The sequence below is a fragment of the Homo sapiens genome, chromosome 4 (genome assembly GCF_000001405.40).
Source record: "Homo sapiens chromosome 4, GRCh38.p14 Primary Assembly".
Lineage (NCBI taxonomy): Eukaryota > Metazoa > Chordata > Mammalia > Primates > Hominidae > Homo > Homo sapiens.
Genome location: NC_000004.12, coordinates 20,471,759 through 20,494,107, shown reverse-complemented (window position 1 = coordinate 20,494,107; position 22,349 = coordinate 20,471,759). Strand labels below are relative to the sequence as shown.

At 33.6% G+C, this 22,349-nt stretch overlaps 1 protein-coding gene across 7 annotated transcripts in view; it reads right to left on the bottom strand.

The window, feature by feature from the left end:
* The window catches only part of SLIT2 (slit guidance ligand 2), a 368,657-nt gene that overhangs the window by 126,454 nt on the left and 219,854 nt on the right, over nt 1-22,349 (bottom strand). For 4 of the 7 annotated variants that reach the window (XM_005248211.3, XM_006713986.3, NM_001289135.3 and 1 more), the window contains exons 6-10: nt 13,321-13,392; nt 7,837-7,908; nt 5,126-5,289; nt 3,294-3,305; nt 2,209-2,347 (exon numbers count right to left, since the gene is read on the bottom strand). In XM_005248211.3, coding sequence (XP_005248268.1) covers nt 2,209-2,347; nt 3,294-3,305; nt 5,126-5,289; nt 7,837-7,908; nt 13,321-13,392 — 459 coding nt within the window. The remainder of the gene's footprint in view (nt 1-2,208; nt 2,348-3,293; nt 3,306-5,125; nt 5,290-7,836; nt 7,909-13,320; nt 13,393-22,349) is intronic. The other 3 variants (NM_004787.4, NM_001289136.3, XM_017008845.2) reach the window with 1 other exon arrangement.

Here is a 22,349-nt window from a genome sequence, read left to right as displayed (position 1 = left end):
ATTATTCTAGAAAAGTCAGATTAAAACTCCTATGCTCAAATGCATTCCAAATAAAATCCAAGATCCTTATATCAACATGACCATCCATGAACTGACTCCAATGTATATTTACAACTTGTTTCCTGGTACTATCTCATGTATCAGGCAAGCTGAATTCCTATTTGATTACATCTTGTACTTTCATTCCTACTGCCTAGCTCATGATGTTGCATTAATTCTGAAAGCCTTGTCCTCATCTCTGTAGTTTCATTCACTACCCATCTTTCAAGCTCTAGCTCAGTGTTATTTCTACACAAAGACTTCTATGCTTGAGTTATCATTTCTGGAATGATTACTATATGCAAAGCACACATAGCTCTATGTGTGTTAATTATTTCACATCAAACTGACAACCGCCCTTAGTTTTAGATGGGATACAGGGTCTCAGAGGATAAGTAACTTGTCCATGGTCTCACAAATAGTAAATGATAGGTAAACCTGGGGTTCCAACTAAAACTTTCTGACTCTAGTTAACCATCGTACCTTGCCCTCAACTTCATGCCCTTTGTAAGACCTTGAACTTGATGTGTTCATCTCTTATTATGTTTTTCACTGTGTATCTCATTTAATAGTTTTCAATTTGCATGTCACATTTGCTAACCACTTGATGGATGATCTCAGGAAAATTAATGGTGCCTTTAGGTAGTAAATAGTCACTTAATAAATGTTTGTGCCTGCATAGATGACTATATAGTTCCCTTATGAGAAAATTTAGTATTTCGTTCTACTCTTTACTTTATCACATCTAATATCTTCCCATCAAGTGTCAACATCTTCAGTAATCTGTAGTTTTAAAATCAAATGGAGATGTATTCTTTAGGGCATTATATTTCACGATGCCTCAACATTATCCTGTTATTCTAATTAGGTTCAACTACAATCTCTCAAACAATGCTTACTGCCACCTCTGTTCTTTGCTGCCAATGTTTCTTTTTCAGTAATGTCATCTGTCTCTTCCCAAGTTATAACTTATTCTTCTTTCAAGGTTCAGCCAAAAAATACTAAAAGATGTCTTCTAGAGGTAAAGTAATGTTCTATCAATTAAAATTTTGATGAGAATGATATTATTATGTTTATATGTTATTCAGTGTCAAATCTTCACAGAGTCTAGAATTCCTGCAGAGGTTCATGTCTTATACTGCAAAGCTCTAAGCACATTATTAAGCACATGGTAGATACTTTAAACTAATGGCAGTGAGTCCTGTGAACTAAAATTATTCTCATATAAGGTACATTAGATAAGTTACTTTATTATCATAATTAAATAAATTGGTTAAAAATGAGCGCTTTAAAAACAACTTTTTCGCATACTATGTAGGCCTATTCTAAGAAGTTGTTCCTATTATTTCAACCAAAAATCCAAGATAATTTATTTAGTTACAATTTAGAATTGGCCTATAACATAATAATATAATGGGCTGGGTGGTTAAAAGGGGTTTTGTCAATGAATATTGAGGTAACAATTTTCCCTAGTGCTTACTTTTCAAGATGGTAAAAGCATTCCATTTTACATCTTATGTGACCTTGTTTTATCCACATGACTTATATTTGGTGAGGACATAGAAATGCATTCAGCAGCTGCATACAAAATACGTGTGCAATAGTTTGTCATAAGAATTTAACTTTTAATGGAGGTAGACACTGCTTCAAATAGGCTAAAACATGCACTATATAAAAAATCTTTACATTTGACTTTATGTTATCCTTTCTTCACTTTGCATTGAACTATCAATTCAAACAAAACAGTGAAACTGCCTTTTAAAACATGAGCTCTCGAGGAGGCAGAGCATCACCTAACTGTATTGTTTCTGTGGTTTACTAACCCCAGCTTGGTCCCTTTTTATATTCCTACTGCTCCAAACTGAGAAATGGACAACCACAGATGTACAGGCCCAAAGGGTGGAACCAGGTATAAACAATCCTGTTTGCCTTGTTTTTCCTAAAAAATGTATTCCTTTTAATTCTATCTGTGGAAGAAAAAACATCACAGCCACTTTAACATGGTATGTTTTTAAACAATCAGAGTAAGAATCAATACATTTCTGAAGAGAACATTTGTCTAAGCCAATTGATCAGATGTGCCTTCGATAAACTCAGAATTTCCCAAAGAAAATCAAAGTTTGGTTCACCGGGAAGGTGGGGAGATAAGAAAGAATTTCAGGCACATACATTTCTGTGATGGTCTCTGGAAGATTTGTGGGGATCTCAGTGAGACCTTTCCCACGACAGTCTACGATATTGTTGCTACAGGTACAGGCGGCAGGGCAGTGCAAAACACTACAAGAAGGAGCCATAAATGACTGGTGACCTAAAAAAGAAATAAACAGGAATTATATTTTTCCTCCTGAATATCATAATTGTGAAACAGACAAACTTAGCTCAAGTAACAAAGCATTTCACATAAATAAATCTCTTTAAATACATGATGATAAAATGGTCCTATATTTCTAAAATATATTTTAGGAGGCATGCATTTATATATTCAGGTCAATAAAGCAAATGAGAGGAAGTAAATGAGATTCTAAAAACTGGTCATAAGACTGCTAATTTTTAAAACTTGTGAGAAAAGCTAAATTCAGTTTTAAAATCAGAATTACATTCAAAACTATTCTAATTTCCAAAAGCCCAGCAACTTCAGACTAATTTATCTTCATTCCTAATAAGATTAAATAGAGCTTGGTCTTTATCAAATTCATGCAGCTTTATTTACTTTGTAATTTCTTTTAAAAAAGAAAACAAAACAGTAGTACTTCCATCAGAAGATAATTGTTGCTCAAATTAAATAATCATATGCCAATAAATGTGGGGAAAAATTAGATAAGCCAGAATTTGATGTCTTGATAGGTTCAAAATTATCAATTTATCTGAAATCATAATAATAATTTGTATAAAGTCATCTTATTGTTAATAAAAAATTATTCTTTTGGGGGCTTTGGGTAATTTTAAATTTTGGTATAAGTAGCTCCCTTCCTGTGTGTACTTTTATTACTCAATATTTGGAACAATTTTTAAATGAGACATTAATGGTTGAAAGGTGAGCAACAGAATATCAGCACAGTTGTATTAAATAAGCATCTGGACATGCATGGTTTCTGGAAGACAGTGGGGACTGCCCTTTCCAACCTGCCAGGAAAGGGCCCTAGTGGTGGTGACGTGCCAGGAAGAGGCTGCAAGCCAGCTGCTAATTCTATCCCTCTAAACAAGCTCTTAAACTACAAAAATATCCTCGGTCTAAAAAAGAAATGTGAACTTGCCTTCTTCCTCATCTAGAAAACAGAAAGGAAAAAGTGAAGAGAGAAAAAAGTGGTTAGTAACGAACTGTTAGTCATTTCATTATTTAATTTTTTAAAAAAGCAATCAGACATATTGAGAACATTCCATGATATTATACAAAAATTTTTCTTAGGTTATAAAACATGTGAAAAAACACAAACAAGGGTCTAAAATATAACCATTTAATAGCATCAAGTACTAGTCATGTCTCCCTACCCTGCCTTTAAAAATCTGTGAACTACTTACGATGCATTATACGTTTCTTAAAATTTTGTTTTGTTGTATTTTGAACAGATACTTCTGAAGCTGAAGCAGAACCAACCATACATATATATATATACACACACACCCACACATATATATACACATATACAAATAAGATACTATGTATGGGGGTGTGTGTGTGCATGCACGTGTGTGTGTATATATGTAATCAAACCACTTCTATTGAGATCCCTGGACTCAACTACATAAACTTTGGCAAGGATATTCTTTTTCACAGCATTTGAATCTCCAAATATAGAGATAATATTACATTTCTCATACAGTTGTTATAAGGGAGGTGAAGTGAGGTAAATATATGTGAAATACTTAGGTTGGTGCTTAAGCATATTAAAAAACTCAGTAAACGTTAGCTATTGATTGATATTAGACACAGCCTATGTCTTATTTATTTATTTATTTATTTTATTGATTTATTTATTTTTTGAGACAGAGTCTCACTCTGTTGCCCAGGCTGGAGCGCAATGGCGCGATCTCGGCTCACTGCAAGCTCCACCTCCGGGGTTCACGCCATTCTCCTGCCTCAGCCTCCCGAGTAGCTGGGACTACAGGCGCCCACCACCATGCCTGGCTAATTTTTTGTATTTTTAATAGAGACAGGGTTTCACCATGTTACCCAGGATGGTCTCAATCTCCTGACCTTGTGATCCGCCCGCCTCAGCCTCCCAAAGTGCTGGGATTACAGGCGTGAGCCACCACACCCCGGCCTATTTTTTATTTTTATTTTTTGAAATGGAGTTTCTCTCTTGTCACCCATGCTGGAGTGCACTGGTGTGATCTCAGCTCACTGCAATCTCCGCCTCCCAGATTCAAGTGATTCTCCTGCCTCAGCCTCCCAAGTAGCTAGAATTACAGGCATGCACCACCATGCCCAGCTAGTTTTTGTATTTTTAGAAAGGACGGGGTTTTGCCATGTTGGTCAGGCTGGTCTGGAACTCTTGACCTCTGGAGATCTGCCCACCTCTGCCTCCCAAAATGCTGGGATTACAGGCGTGGGCCACAGTGCCTGACCCTATGTCTTATTTTTGTTTTTAGATGTTTGTTATTAAAGCTGGTCATTTAATATTTGTTTTAAGTAAAACTGAACCATTAGTATACATGTATGCATGAAAAGTATTTTGTTACTTTGCAACTATGGCTGAATTGCTCTTTGAATTTCATAGCAGGGATCCAGGATTAGCTAATCATTTTTTTTCAATTGTTAACATAAAAGTAGCTATAAATTGTTACTTAATGGGAAAATAAAAAATCAAAAGTAGAATCATCATTTAGCGATTTTCCATATTTTCCCCTGGAGTGAAAACTGAAAAGTGTTTTATCATAATTTAGATACAAGTAACCAGTACTTGCCAACCGATATAGTGAGGTCTCAGAACATATTTTCACTGAAAAAGAGGATCTCTGTAGAGTGATTAGTGCACAATTGAACATTAGTGAACAATACTGAAACCTTTGACGCATGCAGCCCTCACATTCTGTTACATAACAGGATACAATAAACACAATAACATCACTCTTCCTTCTCCCTTACCACTGCAGACAAATTCTCGTTTTTGAACCTCGGCTACATTATGGCCTCTCAGGTGGGAGGGGCCCATACACTGAGTGTACAGACCAACCCGAGGCCTTTGGCGAAGCCAGTCGGAGAGCCAGGCCAGGTGGCAGTCACAATACAGGTTGTTTGAATGCAGTCGACTAAATGAGAAAAAAAGAAGTGTAAAGCAAGAAAACAGAAAGTCGTTATTTCATTAATATATACCTGTATTTCTTAACATAGAAGTAGATAAAGCTAAGCAGATTCCAATATAATTATTTTTCCTAAAAATTAAACTGATGTACAATCACAGAATCAAGTCTCTCTTCATTTAGTCTGAACTGAGCAATTTATAGAAGCTTGAATATGTCCATAAAATTATGTTTTAAACGAACATATTTCACTTACGTTCATTTAAAAGAGGAAAGAGAAAAAAATAAGTCCAATGCAAATTGCTCCACAGTTCCAACATCCTGAGAGCCAATGGGGGTGGGGTGGGAGAATGGGGAGACTGGGCGAGGGGCAAGTTAGTAAAAGTTGTGGCTCCCAGTTTGAAATATCAATAATTCCTGCCATTATGAGTCTCTATAGAAACCGCTTATAAAACCTTTGCAGCAGGACACTTGCATTTTTTGCTGAACAAGACAGAATAATAATTCAATATAAAACACTTTTTTCACACCCTTATTCTCATTTCCTTCTTTTGTTGTTTAATCACAGAAAAGGGATTAGCTCCTTTGGCTCCTGGAGACCTAGCCTCAAAGAGCAGGGACTGAAATTAAAAGGCACAAATGTCTGGGAGTGAAGGAATTAAGTGAGTCGCTCTATGTTGGCAGGATCCACACAAGATCATGGATTGCTTCCAAGTGGCAAATAGCACTTCTCCATTAATAAAATATCAGACAAATGTATCCACTAAATTAGGTAAATGACTTCAAACTGGCTTTTATGTTTTCTCAAACTAAAGAAAAGGACATCCAAAGCTATAAATCAAAGCACCATTCCCAGAACCATCTATGACACAGTAATACCATTTTAGTCCTTTTAAGCTGATGTGTTCAATTCTAACCCAATAACAGTAATGGATATTAAAACATGGAACTCAGTCCAGAAAGATAATTAGGCTATAAAAATGGAATTTTTAAGTAGCAATGATACTATAGAATAATGACCCAACCAAAGCAAAGGAATTTCAAGTAAAATGGCTGCTTTGCATTCTCCTTGAGCTTATAGATAAGGAACACAATGTTTTGCTTCACAACTAGAAGGCGTACCACAGAACAAAAAGCTACATTTTGGGAAAGATGGGTGACCTCTTGCTCGGTTTGCTTGGAAGTTGAAGTTCTGGCCTTTGGAAGCCACAGAGGCACATTCCATATCCTTGTACTCTAAATATTTCCGTCTAAACCAAGCACATTATAAAAATTCCAATTAGGAACTTGAAATGAGAAAAGAATGTAAAAATGGAAAAACCTGATTAGTAAGACAAACTCACGAATTTCTACAAGAAAATAAGGGACACTGTCAAAAATTCAGATGAATGTTTTTACAATTTCATTGGCTTTGTTTTTGCAAAGATTGAAAGCTTGAATCAATTTCTTTTTAAAAAAAATACCTGAAGTTACTGGGAAATTATAGTTTTGAGTGAACTAGGCTGTTAATTCTGTCAGATTAGTCTTATTCTGATAGCCCCAAGAATGCAAAATTTAGCTATGTCTGTATACTTGTAGAATTCCTTTATTTTGCTAAATAATATTCCAAGGAAATTATAATGATGTGTTATTATGTACAGAGTTGGATTTCAGTAAGAAAAAAATGACATTAAAATTGGTATTACCTAGTTCATTAAAAAGATGGTAATTCAAAATTTTTATTAAGAAAATAAAATTAATATTTTCCAGTTACAAGCTATCAGAAAATGAGGAGTATTTTGAAAATCTAATCAAAATATATTTACCCAACTTAAAAACACTTTTTTTTCAAGAAGTTTGATGCTTTGGTTTTGCTTCCAATCATGTCCTACACGTTATATGTAATATATTTTTTTAGGTCAAGGTGATTCTGAAATTCAGTTCAAATGAGATTTACCTCTGATATTCTATAACTTAAAGTCCACCCTGGGCTTTAAAGATTTTAAAGGCTACTCTGGGCTTTAAGGATTACTTTTTCTTCAAGAGAAAAGAAACAGCTGTAGTCAATACTTTATTAGACCAAAAATATCTTAATGTCCATCTGTAACCCAGAAAGATATTTTTAAATATAAATGCTGACACAATCTTAATTATAGAAGTACTAGAGGGTGATGCTATAATTTCACGTTATAAGGAATGTTGAAGAACCAGTTTAGCTTTATTAGGTCTGCTTGCAGTACAGTAATAAAATCATAAAGATTTCCCATTTATCATTTCTGACAGCCAATCAAGGAGTCTTCCATTTCTTAATGAAATGTGACCTCCACAATAGCTCAAAGTAAATGTTGTTTTTTTTTAACTCCAAAGTTTCCATAATGCATATCAGTTAAAAGAAATCTTTCCAGTTTCTAGAATAATAGCTCATTCCCACAAATATCATATCTAGTCTTTTCCAAAGTTGGGTTTTCCTTGTCTACCTTGTAAACCAGTGGTCCTGTCCTTTGCTTACTGAACATGCTATTTAAGGGGAAGCTTTAATTGATTAATATGACTTTTACATATATTGTGACTACTTACAAAGTCCTAAGTTTAGGCATATGGTTGAAACTTGCCACAGAAAGTCTAGTAATGTTGTTATTGTTGAGAGTGCTGTAGAATTAAAAAGAAAAGTTAGAATTTTTAGATACAAAATTGATTGATCATTTTATATATTAACATAGAGAAAACGTCTTGTACTATGCTTATGCAGGACAGCTACCTGGTAGAGATGACATAGAGAATGCACTACTCTATAGACAAGTTGATAAATAATTTCATAATTTAACATATTACTGTACATTTTGTTTTATTCAACATTTACTACAAATTTATGGCTTCATTCATAGCATGTTTGACTATTTACATTCTACTTTATGTACCTTGTGCATGCATGTCTATTTAGGATATTGGTTAAGAAATAAACACGGGATAGTTACAGTTGGAAAATATGCCCAATTACATTTCCGTAGAGTGGCATTATGTGTAATTAGTGTCCATGAGTCAATGAACGTATTTGAATTAATATTCTTTTACTGATTTCTCATAGCAACAATACAGAATCATTCGTGTCAGGCTTTGGAACAGAGTCCTGATAACTATTATTTACCGCAGACATCAGCCACTGCTGAAATTTGAGTGGAAACAGCTATATCTACATCTGGTACTTGCACCAGGTGGGGATGAAGTAACTTGCTGTAGCACCGTGTTAAAAGATTAATCCATTCTAATGGTTTTTAGTTGCAGTAGCATATTCACCTTTGTTTACTGCTGTGTGGCAGCAGTCATGCTTTCTTGAGGTAGCAGATCCAGGAATATGTGTGGTGAAGAGTTATTGTGAAAATAAATAACATCCTTACTTTTCCCCCAGTGCAACTTTGTTAGTTTTATTATTATTATTATTGATTATTACTACTTCTATTACTACTCATTCATTCATCAAATATTTCCCAAATGGCTATTATTTTATGGTAACATGGAGTATTATAAAAATAAATCAGGCATATACTCTGTCCTAAGATAGCATACAGTCCAGCTGGGGAGATGATTGGACAAATTACAAAAACTAATAAGGCTAACATATGAGCTTTCATCACCCTTCAGAAAAATCTGGTTGTGATAAGAAAGTGGTAGAAGTTATCCCGGGGGGTATACAAGTAAAGTGTAGACATGGAAAGCAATTCTAAGACTGGGAGAGACTAAAGGTACACATTGAGGTGTTGACTAAAGAAGGCAAGTTCCTCTGAAGGAGGTAGGAGAAAGAGCATCAGTGGTCCTGTTGGATGAAGTTGATACTGGACAAGGATTTGAATTAGGGGTTGCAAGTTCACTGCAGGGCCTGAGCAGAGAACAGAAATGAGCGAAGCAGGCCACGTGCAAAAATATACAATGATGGGCAAGAGAGATGGAAGAAAGCAGACATTTGGGGAATGTGAAGAATATGGTAAGCTAGCAATGATAGTCTCTCTTGTGGCAGATAATCTCCAGCTCCAATGGACTACTGACCTGCTGTAAGGGAGGGCTGTCAAACAATCAGATTTTCCAAGGGAAGCTAGAGATAAAAATTTTTAGATCTTTCTAATGTTTAAATAGTGGCAACTAATTAAAACATTTCAAACAGTCTGTAGACCGCTTATGTTTGAGCTACACAAAATATATTTTTGAGGCCACTCTGGGCCAGTTGGTGGCTGCGGTTATTGATGGTGCGTTCAGAGGTCAAGAGATTGACAAAAACTTTTCAGTAAAACAGGGCATGTCAGCTAGAGACCCAGATCATGCATGGACCCTCTTTACCACCTTGTTTTGCAATGTATTGAATTATATAAGAACTATTCTAAGTCATTTGAATTAAGTCACAAAAAATAAACCACTTTATGGGGGACCTACAGAGCACTGGATTTGTTGGCTCAGTTTACCTAAGAGCTTTTAGCATTTTCCTATGTGCAGGTGAAATGAGATGTCTTTTTCAAATGCCATTAAAATATATCCTGATGTTTGAATGCAAAGGTTAAACTTCTCAATGGGATTTGCTTTCAAATGATCCCTTTTCCCATCCTCAAAATTTATGCTGACTTAATATGGCTAAAATCTTTATAGTATATAGCATTCTGAAATATGACTTTGGGAATAAATTGTTTTAAGTACTACACAGAGAGCAGACATGCATTAATTTTGAACTATAGTTTCTTATATCTCCATGCAAAGGAAAACTTTCATTGAATGCCAAAAACTTCAGTTATCAATTTGAAGTCTTTTCTCAAAATGTTAGTTCACATAATGCAACTAAAGGAATACATTATCTTAGTATTTTATTCTGTACTGATGCTGGAAAGAAGTACTGATACTGATACTCAATGACTGAAAAATATGCAGAACCAACAAAATTATTTTTAAAATTAATAATAAATATAAGTGTTAAGTATGATTACTTGTGTATGTTATGGTTATGGTCAACTTCCATTCTGAAATAATGGAAATTTATATATTGTAATTATTTAGTTGTGAACATTTTCTCCCATGTGTAAGTCTATTTCTGTGCTCAACTTCAAGATTTTCTTTGTAATGAGTATTCTAATACAAAAGACATCTTGATGTATAAATATTAGCCTGTATAATCATGGAGCACCTCTCACACTTGTATGTTGATTTAGTCATCTTATTCCCTTACCACCATGCATATCGTTTGGCAGAGTTTGGTATTTAGTGGATATGAATCACTACAATTAAATTACACTAAATTATGTTCATTCTGTGAAAAAGAAAAATAAACATGTAAAAGCAGCAATTCAAGGGATATATTTCATTTCTGAGGCCAGTGTCCAAAGAAGGGAAAATACTGATCAAGATTTAGTTTCCAATGTTATTTTTGAGATGGTATCTAAATATTAAGAAAATATGCAGTTACTTCTAAGTTCTACAAATCAGAATCTGACAATAAACCAGTTCTCCGTGAACGTGCAAGTGTTAAACTGCTTCCTTGCTTTCATCCACCTTAGATTTTCACTTGACTTCTTGGACTCTGTTCACTCTTTGTACGCTCATATATATCCTAATTTGATACTTTTCATCAATGACCAAGGGCCATTACCTCATTTTCTCCCATCTAGCTTCAGTATAGTCATACATTCACAAATGGCTCAAGGAATTAAAATTTTAAAAAATCTAAAACCCTTGGAATCTGAAATTTAAGGCAATGTGTAAGTTAATGTTCCTTCATTATTTCCACATAAGACAGTACATCCTAAAGAGTCACGAATGGTAAAAATAAGCAAAACAGACAGTCATCTTTCTAGAACCCTTCTTCATGCAACCTCTCTTAAGCTCTTGACCAAACATTTGTAATAGGTAAACTTTTGTTGTATTTCACAAGTGATTTGGGCTTCATAAATTATCGTCTTTTCAGTGCTCCAATTTTGCCTTAAGTTATTTATCAACTGATTTTTCTAGGGGTTGTTTAAAGTATGAGGATTGAAAAAAAAACATTTAAAGTAATGTCTGATCAACTTTATAAAATTTTAATATAAAATATTTCAATCTTTTTAGAAGAAATTTACATTGTCTTCTATCATATGCTAATTTTTATTATTTCTTCAACAAACAAACTCTGACCAATATATACTTCTATAAGATGTATATATTAAGGTCCTCAAAAGAGTTTCCAAGATTTTGGATTTCTATTTTAATTCCATGAACCATAAAATGTCACCCTTTGGTGTGTTGCCTCATTCTTGCTAAAGTCACTTTTTAGATATTTTGATTAATCATGACGATCAAAATGTATGAGATGATTGTGTTTTCATAAACGTACTGCTTCTGAAGACAACGATATTAGTTTATAGAAAATAATCAAATGTAGTTATTGTATTTGTGGGTAAAAGATTTCAGTGCCTAGCATAGTGTTCACTCTACCTTGTAAAATATACACAGTAGGTATTCGATACATTTATGTGTATATATACATATATTGAATAAATACAGTGAAGAACTACATCTGAAAACTTAATAACAAGGTAATTTATGGGATTTAATTCATCCAAGATAGCAAACTTTGCATAAAATGATTGGTATCATTCATATTTCTAGTTAGGAACACTGGTTTAATAATACATTTTTGGCTTGATCAGCTGTTTGATTAAATTTGGTAGTCTCCTCATCTATGAATTTTAGTGACACTGACTATGGTTTTGCCATGAAACCACTACTGTGAAATCATTCTAATTATTCTGACTCTGAGATACCATCAGTGAGTTTCGTATATTAAAAATGGTTCTGGTATACAATTTAAATAGTGGTCTTAAAGCTAAAATGTATATGATAAGCACTTTGAATATTTTTCCGATAGAAACTTAGACCATTATCAATAGAAACAAAGGTGGCCTCTCCTGTTGTTAGAGAGTAGTCTATATTTTTATATTTCACATTTTATCCCAATCAATTCATTCATACAATCTTTTAAAATAATTAATAACAGTACATTACACAGCTGGAAATTCTATTTTCTTGCAATTAAAACCAAAACCATATAAAAATACTGATAAAATAAGCCATTTTAGCTGAAAGATTAATTTTTCAGAATGATATTCCATTCCTGAAACTAGATTTATAAAGTAATGAATTCCTTTTTTGTGGGGAAAAGGAAGGATTTTATGATTTCTCGATAACTTTTAATAAATTGACTAAAAACACCCTAACATTTAATTCAATTATAGATTTCTGACTAAATTTTCTCAAGGATGAAATAAAGCAGAGAAAAATATTTTAATTGGTGGAGGAATTGTAAGTGTATTAAAAAACCTACAAATGTGAATTTTGGCTGAAAAAATTCGAAAAATGTATAGGCGGCATATAATGCTTTAGTAACCACAGTTTTCATTAAAATTTGTAATTTCATTAAAATTACTAAGTCATTGGTCAATAGAGGTTACTTAGTTGCCTCTAACCAATTTTGTCAGTCATGCCTACCCAGGGAGGAAAGGAGGTTGCCAATTATAATTCAAGTCTGCGTGTTGTACATTACAAAGTCAGTGGTGAAGACTTGAAAATGGATCTAATGGGTGGCTTATTAACCTTAGGAAGCAGATTTCAAAGTATTCTTACAAAAATAATGTTAAATCAGCTGGTTAAAAAATTTATTTTTTTAATGAGAAACTGTGTTTCCATTGCCTAACAACGACAAATTATTCCAAGATATCAGCTACTAAGAGGTTTTTTTTTATGTTATTTTTCCTATAAAGTTGATTTTATCTCAATATTTAGCAATGACAAATTCTATGAATCTCATAAAAACATTTATAAGGAGAACATTTGAGTGACCTTACACAATTTTACCTAAATATACAGATATGGTACGCAAGGTTTTGCACACACACATTTAGACTCTTCTCTGTATTCACCATGAGTTATTTAAGGTATCTCTTGAGAGACTATTTTGACAACAAGGTTTTAAGCTAGCAGATAAGCTTCCACATTAGTCCTGTCCAGACACAAAGCCCCCGTTAAAAGAGCAAGAGAAATAGCAGTACTTACAGCACTTCCAGGTCCCGGAGAGCCCTGAATGCCCCATCTTCAATACAGCTGATCTGGTTGTAATCCAGTTGCCTGTTAAAAAGATTAGAAGAATATATGTAGAAGGGATGGACAGTAGCTGGGGTAGGTGATGAGAAGTTTCCTGAAGGGTCTATGATACCCTGGACACACTCACTGAAGTGCCCTCACAAACACACTCATCTGCTTACGAATGTCATAAGCCATTCTCGCCTCTATGCCGCCACTGAAATCTTTTTGTTCTGAACTGTCTGTGCAAATAGCAGCCCTTGGAAAGCTCCAGTAAATAATAACTGCACCTTATATTAAATGCCATAGGAATGCAATTTCATTAGATCAAGAAAAGCTATCCATTAAGAGCTTTCAGCGTCATCTTGCTGAAACAATTTCATTAAGGTAAAGGACTGTAAATCACTTAATGTCACATGCACCCCCTCAGTGACCTAACAGAATCCATTTATCAGAGAAGCCCAGCTGCATGTTAATTTCACTATCCTTGGCATGAGAGAGCAAGACTACTTTTAGGTTTCCTTCTTTTAAAAGCAGTTTTCCTTCAAGGACTCCAAATCGAGAAAGGGAACTGATGTCCCATATAGCTTGCTCTTATTCCCAACCAGAAATACACTTTAGAAAGCTAGTATTTGTTCTATATTAAGTGTCACTATCCTACTAATTCACATTCTTTATCATTATATGCAAATGCTCTGCATTGTAAATACAGCATACTTTTGAGTTAAGGAACTTCCAGAATTATATCGCTCTCCAGAAAATAGGTTTTTAAGTATTAAATAACAATTTTGCTTTTTAAAAAGATGCTAATTTTGGTTAAAGCCACTAAGAAACATATACTACAGGCACATCATAAAAACACTACATGTATCTATGGTAAAAAGCCTAAAAGCTGTATCAGTGAAATTCTAAATAATGCATAATTGAAGTAAATGAATCTTCTCCAATATCTTAAGCACTTATTTGTTAAAATTCATAGTACAAAAAAAGAATGCTCCAAACTTGGTTATGTCTGCTTTTCCTGCTGCTTGTTCTAGAATTAAAATTTTCTTGTTCATATTGAGCCTTCTACTTGGTTGAAATTAACAGTGAAGTACTATATTGTATCTGTACCACACTCTTTTTTTTTTTCTGAACAAGCAGTTGTTTAAATACAGTAGCTTGAATATTAGAGATGCTATTATTTCAGTTAAAAAAGTATTTTGACGTTTCACTTGAGATAGAAACAAAATGTTTCATGGAAGAGGCGAGTTTTCAGCTCTGCACGCACTGGGTGAGAGAATGTGGATGAACAGGAGTAAGATTATGATCGTAATACAAATGCATCCTGTCCTCGTTTCAAGTTCAGCATTCACTGAAAGGGCTAATTCATATTTGAGGTCTGTTCATAAAGAACCGTTTGAACATTTCTATAAAATAGCTGTTTCTCCCACAAGACTACTGAATAAAGGTGCAATGATTTAATCCAGTGACTTTCAGATGGGCCTCTTCAAGTTCCTTACTTTAGAAATTATGTATATAGACAATGTCTCATGAAATACACATCTCATTTATAAGAAGTTCTCTAGGGGACACAATCATACACAAGGCTACCTTGATGTCATGCAAATGGTACAATTTAGGACGTGCACTATTAACAAAGGTGCACCCCAAAGAAGATACAATTTTATTGCCTGTATAAGCCTTAGTTTATAAAACTAAAGTTTTCCCCAAATCATAGCTAACATCCATGCTATTATAATAGCCTAAATAATTTCTACTTATTAAGACATAATGCAGAAGTATTTTATTTTCGAAGAAGACATTTAAAGTCTCATGATGTAATATGGCTGCTGTGGTTCCAAGAAAACACTTACATTCTTGAGCACTTTTGATTTTTACAGATTAAATTCATTTAACAATTAAGTTAATAGCCTTTTTTATTTTAAAGTGCTATATATATATCTACACTACTATTCTCTAACCTCTTGAACAATTTATCAAAGCCATTTAAATTAGTACAATGGCATGAAGTGTTACCCCTGACACACTACAAAAGAGAAATTGTTTCCAGACAAATCGGCAAAATCTTTTAATGCTATCAAATTTGCCTAATGCAGTCTCCAGGTTAATCTGTAAAAGGGTGAGCTGTATGTTTGCCCATATCTTATTATCCTTAGCTGTCAATGTATAAATCAATGCTGACACAGCTTCTTCTAAATCATGCACACAATACACAAAGGGGAACCTCCAGCATGCCAGAAAGCACTCAAGCAAACCTTGTCCTACAAGGAATGGAAGGCCAACTACTTTCCTTACAGGAGCAGAAGTTGAGATGCTGCTGGAAACTTTGGTAATTTCATTGTTCTTTAATATTGCTCATGGTTATACGCTTCTTCATATTCTTAACAGAAATCTAAGCCCTTATTGGTGCTAAAACATTAAGAATGTTTGGTTTCCATAGGACTGAGGTTTTCCTTAAAAGTTCTCTGAATACTGTTATATCTGAGTCCACATATTTCCTGAACATGAAGGTATTTCATGAGGTTACTCATATGAAGGGGCAATCCAAGTTAAACAAGTGAATAATTCTTTCATTAACCTGTCAATTTTTTGATATTCAAAGGAAGGTTTACATAAAGTGTTGTGCTGGTATCACTGCTCATGAGAAAATCTCTCCCAACAGACCTTCATTTGTCTGTATATGGTTCAAGATAAACAGTGTCAAAACTATGCAACAATGTAATTTATTTCAGGGTTTCTGGACTACTTAGCTGCACTCTTTTTGTTTCACCCTGCTCACTCCCTTCTCCACTACCTTTCAAGCCCTGGGTACTTCTGGCTTCTGTAAACAGGAAAGGATCTGTTCTCTGCCATACCTTTAGTGACAGGCTGGCCTTCTTCAGATGTGATTTGCAATTGTGCTACGAAATTATTCTGAATTAAGAAAATAGCCAGAGGAGACTTTTTCACTTCTTCAAAAAAAATATTATGCTCCAACTATTCACTAAGACATAGTGTAAATTTGCAGATCATTAAAGACAGTTGGATGCTAAGGGCAGAAGTATCATAAGTGGTTTATTTCAGACCTTCAGCTGACCTAACTTAGCACATACTTTTGTGTCTTCTCCCTTATTTGCTGACTCCAATCTTCCCTTTGGCTTCTGTTCAAATTCCAAATTACCTCTCTATGTGATCCTTTGCTGTCCAAGTAAATTTGTGTTTTGAAGAACTGCTTTAATCTCACGGAAATGATGGGGTCAAGAATAACATTCATGACCTCGGCTAGGCGTGGTGGCTCATGCCTGTAATCCCAGCACCTTGGGAGGCCGAGGCAGGTGGATGACCCGAGGTCAGGGGTTTGAGACCAGCCTGGCCAACATGGTGAAACCCCATCTCTACTAAAAATACAAAAATTAGCCAGGCGTGGCGGTGGGCACCTGTAATCCCAGCTACATGGGAGGAGGCAGGATAATTGCTTGAACCCAGGAGGTGGAGGTTGCAGCGCGCCAAAATCGCAACTCATGACATTGCACTCCCACCTGGGCAACAAGAGCAAAACTCCATGTCTTAAAAAAAAAAAAAATCATGATCTCTCGGTATTAACATTCTTTTTTTTTTTTTTTATGGTAGGAGGTATATCTTCTGATGCCCTAGAATAACTCTAGATAGTTCATTTTGGTTTTTACCAGCGCTGGTAAATTTAGTCTCACATAATGCAGTGTGTCGATGGGCTCCATATATTAAGAGATACCACTGTATGCCTCACGTGCAAAAAGTTCTGAAGCTCATCTGATTCTCTTTAATACTAAAAATAATTTATCCTAGTTTCAAATTTTGATTTATTCTAGGTATGGGGGACAATATACAATGTTGCTAAATATAAGTTTTAAAAATAGGTATATTAAATGACAAAAAGGTTAAACATTTGCTTACTTGGCATCCTGAAACAGAGATGCTAGTCCATCATTTAGGTTTTCTTAAAGAATTTCCTGCTTTATTCTTTTAAAATATGGATATCACACTGAGTTTGAATTACATATACAACACTTAGGTTAATAACTATATAAAACTGCAGTAATTTCAATTAGTGTGTTCCTACCCATAGCAAATTCATGTTCTACTGCAGCATCCAAGTTATAAGTTCTTATAACTAATAGGTTTTTTTGGTAAGAATTAGAAGACACATAAAATGTGCTTAACAATATAGAACATAACAATCTTTAATAATTTCTAAGTCAATCTGGATCTCTCAATGTCTCAACAAAATTATTATAACTATGCTCCAATTTTGTATTGTTTTGTTTCATTTAAAGTGCTAGAAATAGTTTACTTTATGTTCGTATTATTATTATTGTAAGATAGAAAACTCCAAAAATTTAGTTGACTTAAGACACATCGAAATGGCTAAAATCAATATGAGGGAATAACAATTTTTCACTATTGTAAAGAAACCAAATAAAACATATAAACCACATGGGAGAAAAAGAATAAAAAAGCTGTACATATATGAGCGTGGTCTCTTCTCCTTCTTTCCATATGTGTATAAACTTCAAGTCAATACAAATGTCTATATATCAATATTTATGCCAATCATGCTTTTAAAGAGTAGCCCCAGATATAAATTATGATATAGAGTATAAGAATAAAAATTGATCCATATACATGTACATCCTTGACATAAGTTTCAGCAACTATATCCTTTACCTCTGCATAAAAGCACATCAGTATTAACTTCAAAACTGGTAAAGAAAGCAATTAAGGTATGGACCATTCTGAGGACCCCAAAGTAATTTACATTATGTGAGAATTTAATCCTTTTACAATATTTCAGGCAACAATTTGCTTTTCTCACAGGAATAAAGAATTTCAGTTTTTATAGGAGTAGCCTATGGTATAAAGTTATATGTTTGTCAATTTGGGGGGAAGAAGCAACAGATAGCAGTAGTAGAGATGGGGAGGGAACCTGCTTTAACATCAATTGAGGGAAGGACAACTACATTGACATTAAGTCCTGGGAATTGTAAGTGAACTAATCAAAAGTGGTAGAAACTGAAAATGATAATAATAATTGCTAACGTTTAATAAATTCATAGCATATGGCAGGGTCTGTAGATACGTCATCTTATTATTCCTCATGATAACTTGGGAAGGAGAAATTAGCATCATCCGGATTTTGAGACTATGAGTCTCACAGAAGTTCAATAAGTTATACATGGTATGTAGCAAATAGTCTGTGAAGTTTTCATTGGAATGTAGATGTATGTATTGCCATAACTCCCTCTCAATACATAGTGACTCAGGAAAAAGACTCAGGAACTTTTTGTTCTCCAAATGGAGGTTTCAGCTAAATCAATGATTACTATGGAAGAGACCAGCAGATGAAAAGCACTATAGAATGTCAGAAAAGACAGAGATTACTCTAGGCTGATGTAGTCATGAAAGAAAGGAAAAAAAAAAAAAAACCAAAACCTCAGATCCTCAAAAAATGGATAGAATCTAATTAGACAGAAAATAAAGTGGGTATTTCCTATGGAGGTAATGGGTCTATCAAAGAAGAGTTGTGAGCAGAGGCACTACAATGTTCACAGTGAATATCTGCAACAGAGAGGCCATTCTGGCTTGAGCAAAGAGCTTCTGTACAGATTGAAGGGAAGAAGGAGCTAGGAGCCTGGATCAAAGTCAGAATGCTAGGAGTAGTCAGAATGCCTAAAGAGACTGGATGTTACAGCATTTAATAATCATCTCTGCTCTTTCAGGAAAGAGTCTGTAATTCCTACAGATACTGTAGAACTAGGCAACATTCTGCCTAGTCCTAGAGTTTCTGTATCTAGTATACTATAGACACTATAGAACTGGCAACATTCTGCTCTATTCCCAGGGCTTTGCCATAGTGTCTATAACAAAGGTACTTTAAAACAACTTTTTAAATAAACTGAATACTTTTAAACCCTGTAGTAATAGATAATAAACAATGTTTTATGGGAAAAAATCTGGCAACCTTGTTAAAATTATCTAATGAGAATATAAACTAGAGGTCAAAATTCAATTAGCAGGCTATTTTAAGAGTTCAGAGGTGAGAAAGTGTACTGTTCAGTGTTAAAGATGCAAAAAATCAAAGGTCCATTCTGTATCATAAGAAGACACAGCAGCCATGGCATGATTATGCCAATTCATATTTTGTAAGTATGTGAATTGGATTCCCAATTGCTGAATCAGACTATCTTGTGTTTTGTGTTATTTTGTTTTGTTCTAGAAGGCATTTATGAAGAAATATTGTTAGATTACATCTTTACATGACAAAATGCATTATTGAAGAAAAACTGCTGAAAGCACTCTGAAGACAAAGAAAAATGCAAAGATGGAGAGGTTATTGGTAGCAAACTTTGTCATAGTTGTTGGGGATTATCACAATTCATTGTGCTTTCAGAGGCAGTGCAACCAAGCAAAATACAGAACCATGGACAGTTCCCATAGTACTGATGGGGACATCTGCTGAGCTACTAATTTTTTTATATATATGAATGCCTGAGACAACCCCTTTTTATTTAGTTACATAGGAAATGAAGGTAAGTTTCATTTCAGAAAGGCAATAAAAGACCTTACCTTCATTTACTATCTATCTAAGTAAAAAGCCCTCCCTACAGGTTTGTTCAGAAGGTTCTATACCACACTGAAGACCTCTGGAATTTAAGAGTAAGGATAGCAATCCCTATAAATGAGAAACCAACCTACCATTTGCAGTCTCTTCAGCTTCAGGTTTACTGAAAATACTCTAGGAAAGAGCTAGGGGCACGGACATGTACAGCTGCAATCTGATATCAATGGATTTGAAATAAAATCCAATGAACTAAACAGAAAAACTAACAGATTAAAGAAGACATTTTGCAATTATGACCTAACTTATATGACAAACCTAATGAGGTCTTGCATTTGCCTGGTAAAATTTACATACCCTCTTTTCTCTGTTTGTTACATATTGATTCTATATCAAGTGAGCAACCCTTGCTCTCTTATCATTAGGAATTATGTAGATGACAGTGAAAACTAGAAAACAGATATTTGAAATGAGAAAAAATTAAAAATATGATGAAATATGTAAGCAGCTCTGTGCCTCTGGGATAGAACTGTGAGTTTTCCTTCTATGGGTTCTAATGGAGCCATCGATACAAAACTTGAAAATGACACAGTTCCAGCAGAAAAACAAAATTTCTAACTAATGTAAATAGCTCTGTAACAACACATAGGTGAACTCTCTCTATCCTGTTTGCCAAATCGTTTTATGCTAATAAATAATGTATTCCAAATTGGGTGACTTCCTTCCTAAAATGTCATAGGAATATATATATTTATTTTCCAAATGATATTTTTGCTTACCTAAAGAGAATCATACTGAATCATCTACTGACTTAAAGCCTTGTCTAAAAAGTAATGCATGTACAAAAAAGGATAAATACAAATATTTTCCCCAACATATTTTTTAACCAAGAAGCATTTTGTTCCTGGAAAAGGATTATAAGACTCATGACAGACATAGGGTTAATGGAATTGAGATAATGCAAGCAAACTGGAAAAATATATATTTATTTATGAAGAAAGAATAGTAAAGTTTGATTGGAATAGAGGATGCACTTTGTGGATGTATTGCAAAATTAAAGCAGCAGAAAGCAGGTGTGGTTTACCTCACATAGTACATTTAAAATATGTCCTTTTTGAATTTAATTAATTTAAGTAATCATATTGAACTCACTAAAAAACCAACGGTAAAGTAAATTAGATTTTGTTTTTGTGATGTGACTAAAAACTAGTGATCTAGGTAATTTTAAAGTTTATATATTTGTACCTTTTTTCTTTAATCCTAGGATAACTATAACTAAGAATGTTTTATCATAAAAACAAAAGACTTTTGAAATATTCTGGTACTTACTAAGTACTATTAGTTCTTCAAGAATAAGCTCACAATTCTTGGCAGTAAAGTGAGATTTAATTTTAACATTTTTCTAAATTCTCAATTAATGGAAATGCCTAATAGATACTTGAAAACAAATCAGTGGCACAATGTAACATGACCCTGTTCAATATTTGTTTAGAAGACAGCAAAGGCTTTACTGCATCAGTGTTAAGGCTTTTAAATATATATATCGATATATATAGATATATCGATATATATAGATATATCTATAGATATATATCTATATATAGATATATCTATATATAGATATATATCTATATATAGATATAGATATATCTATATATAGATATATATCTATCTATATATAGATATATATCTATATATAGATATATATCTATATATAGATATAGATATATCTATATAGATATATATCTATAGATATCTATATATATAGATATATAGATATCTATATCTATATATCTACATATATATAGATATAGATATCTATATAGATATCTATATCTATATATAGATCTATATATAGATATATATATCTATATATAGATCTATATATCTATATATCTATATATATAGATATATATCTATATATAGATCTATATATAGATATATAGATCTATATATATATACACACACACACACATTTCTAAAGCAATTTTTCCTAAATATTGGTTACATTTTGGCAAAGCATCAGTTGATAATGATATGCTATCAATACTTAATTCATATTTGTTTTGGGAGTTTAAAAACACAAATGTAAATCCTACAGAAATGTACCACCAGTGACCATTATAAACAGTATAATTTAGTTGATATTTTCATATGACCTTGCTATTCTCACAGCATATCTCATTGTGTAAAATGTCAAGGGAAAAAGTAGTTTAAATTGTGGCTGGAGAAAATAAGGTAGCAAAATAAAATGTAAAAAAATTTAATCGAGTTAAGAAATGAATAGAGAGAAGCAAAAAAGTTATGGGAAGTCCTCCCTGGAGATGTTTAAGAGCAAGATAACTGTCCATCTGTTTAGAATAGTTTTAGTGTGGCTTGCCTGGAGGAAGGGGAATGAGATCTGCTAATCTGCAAAATTTCCACA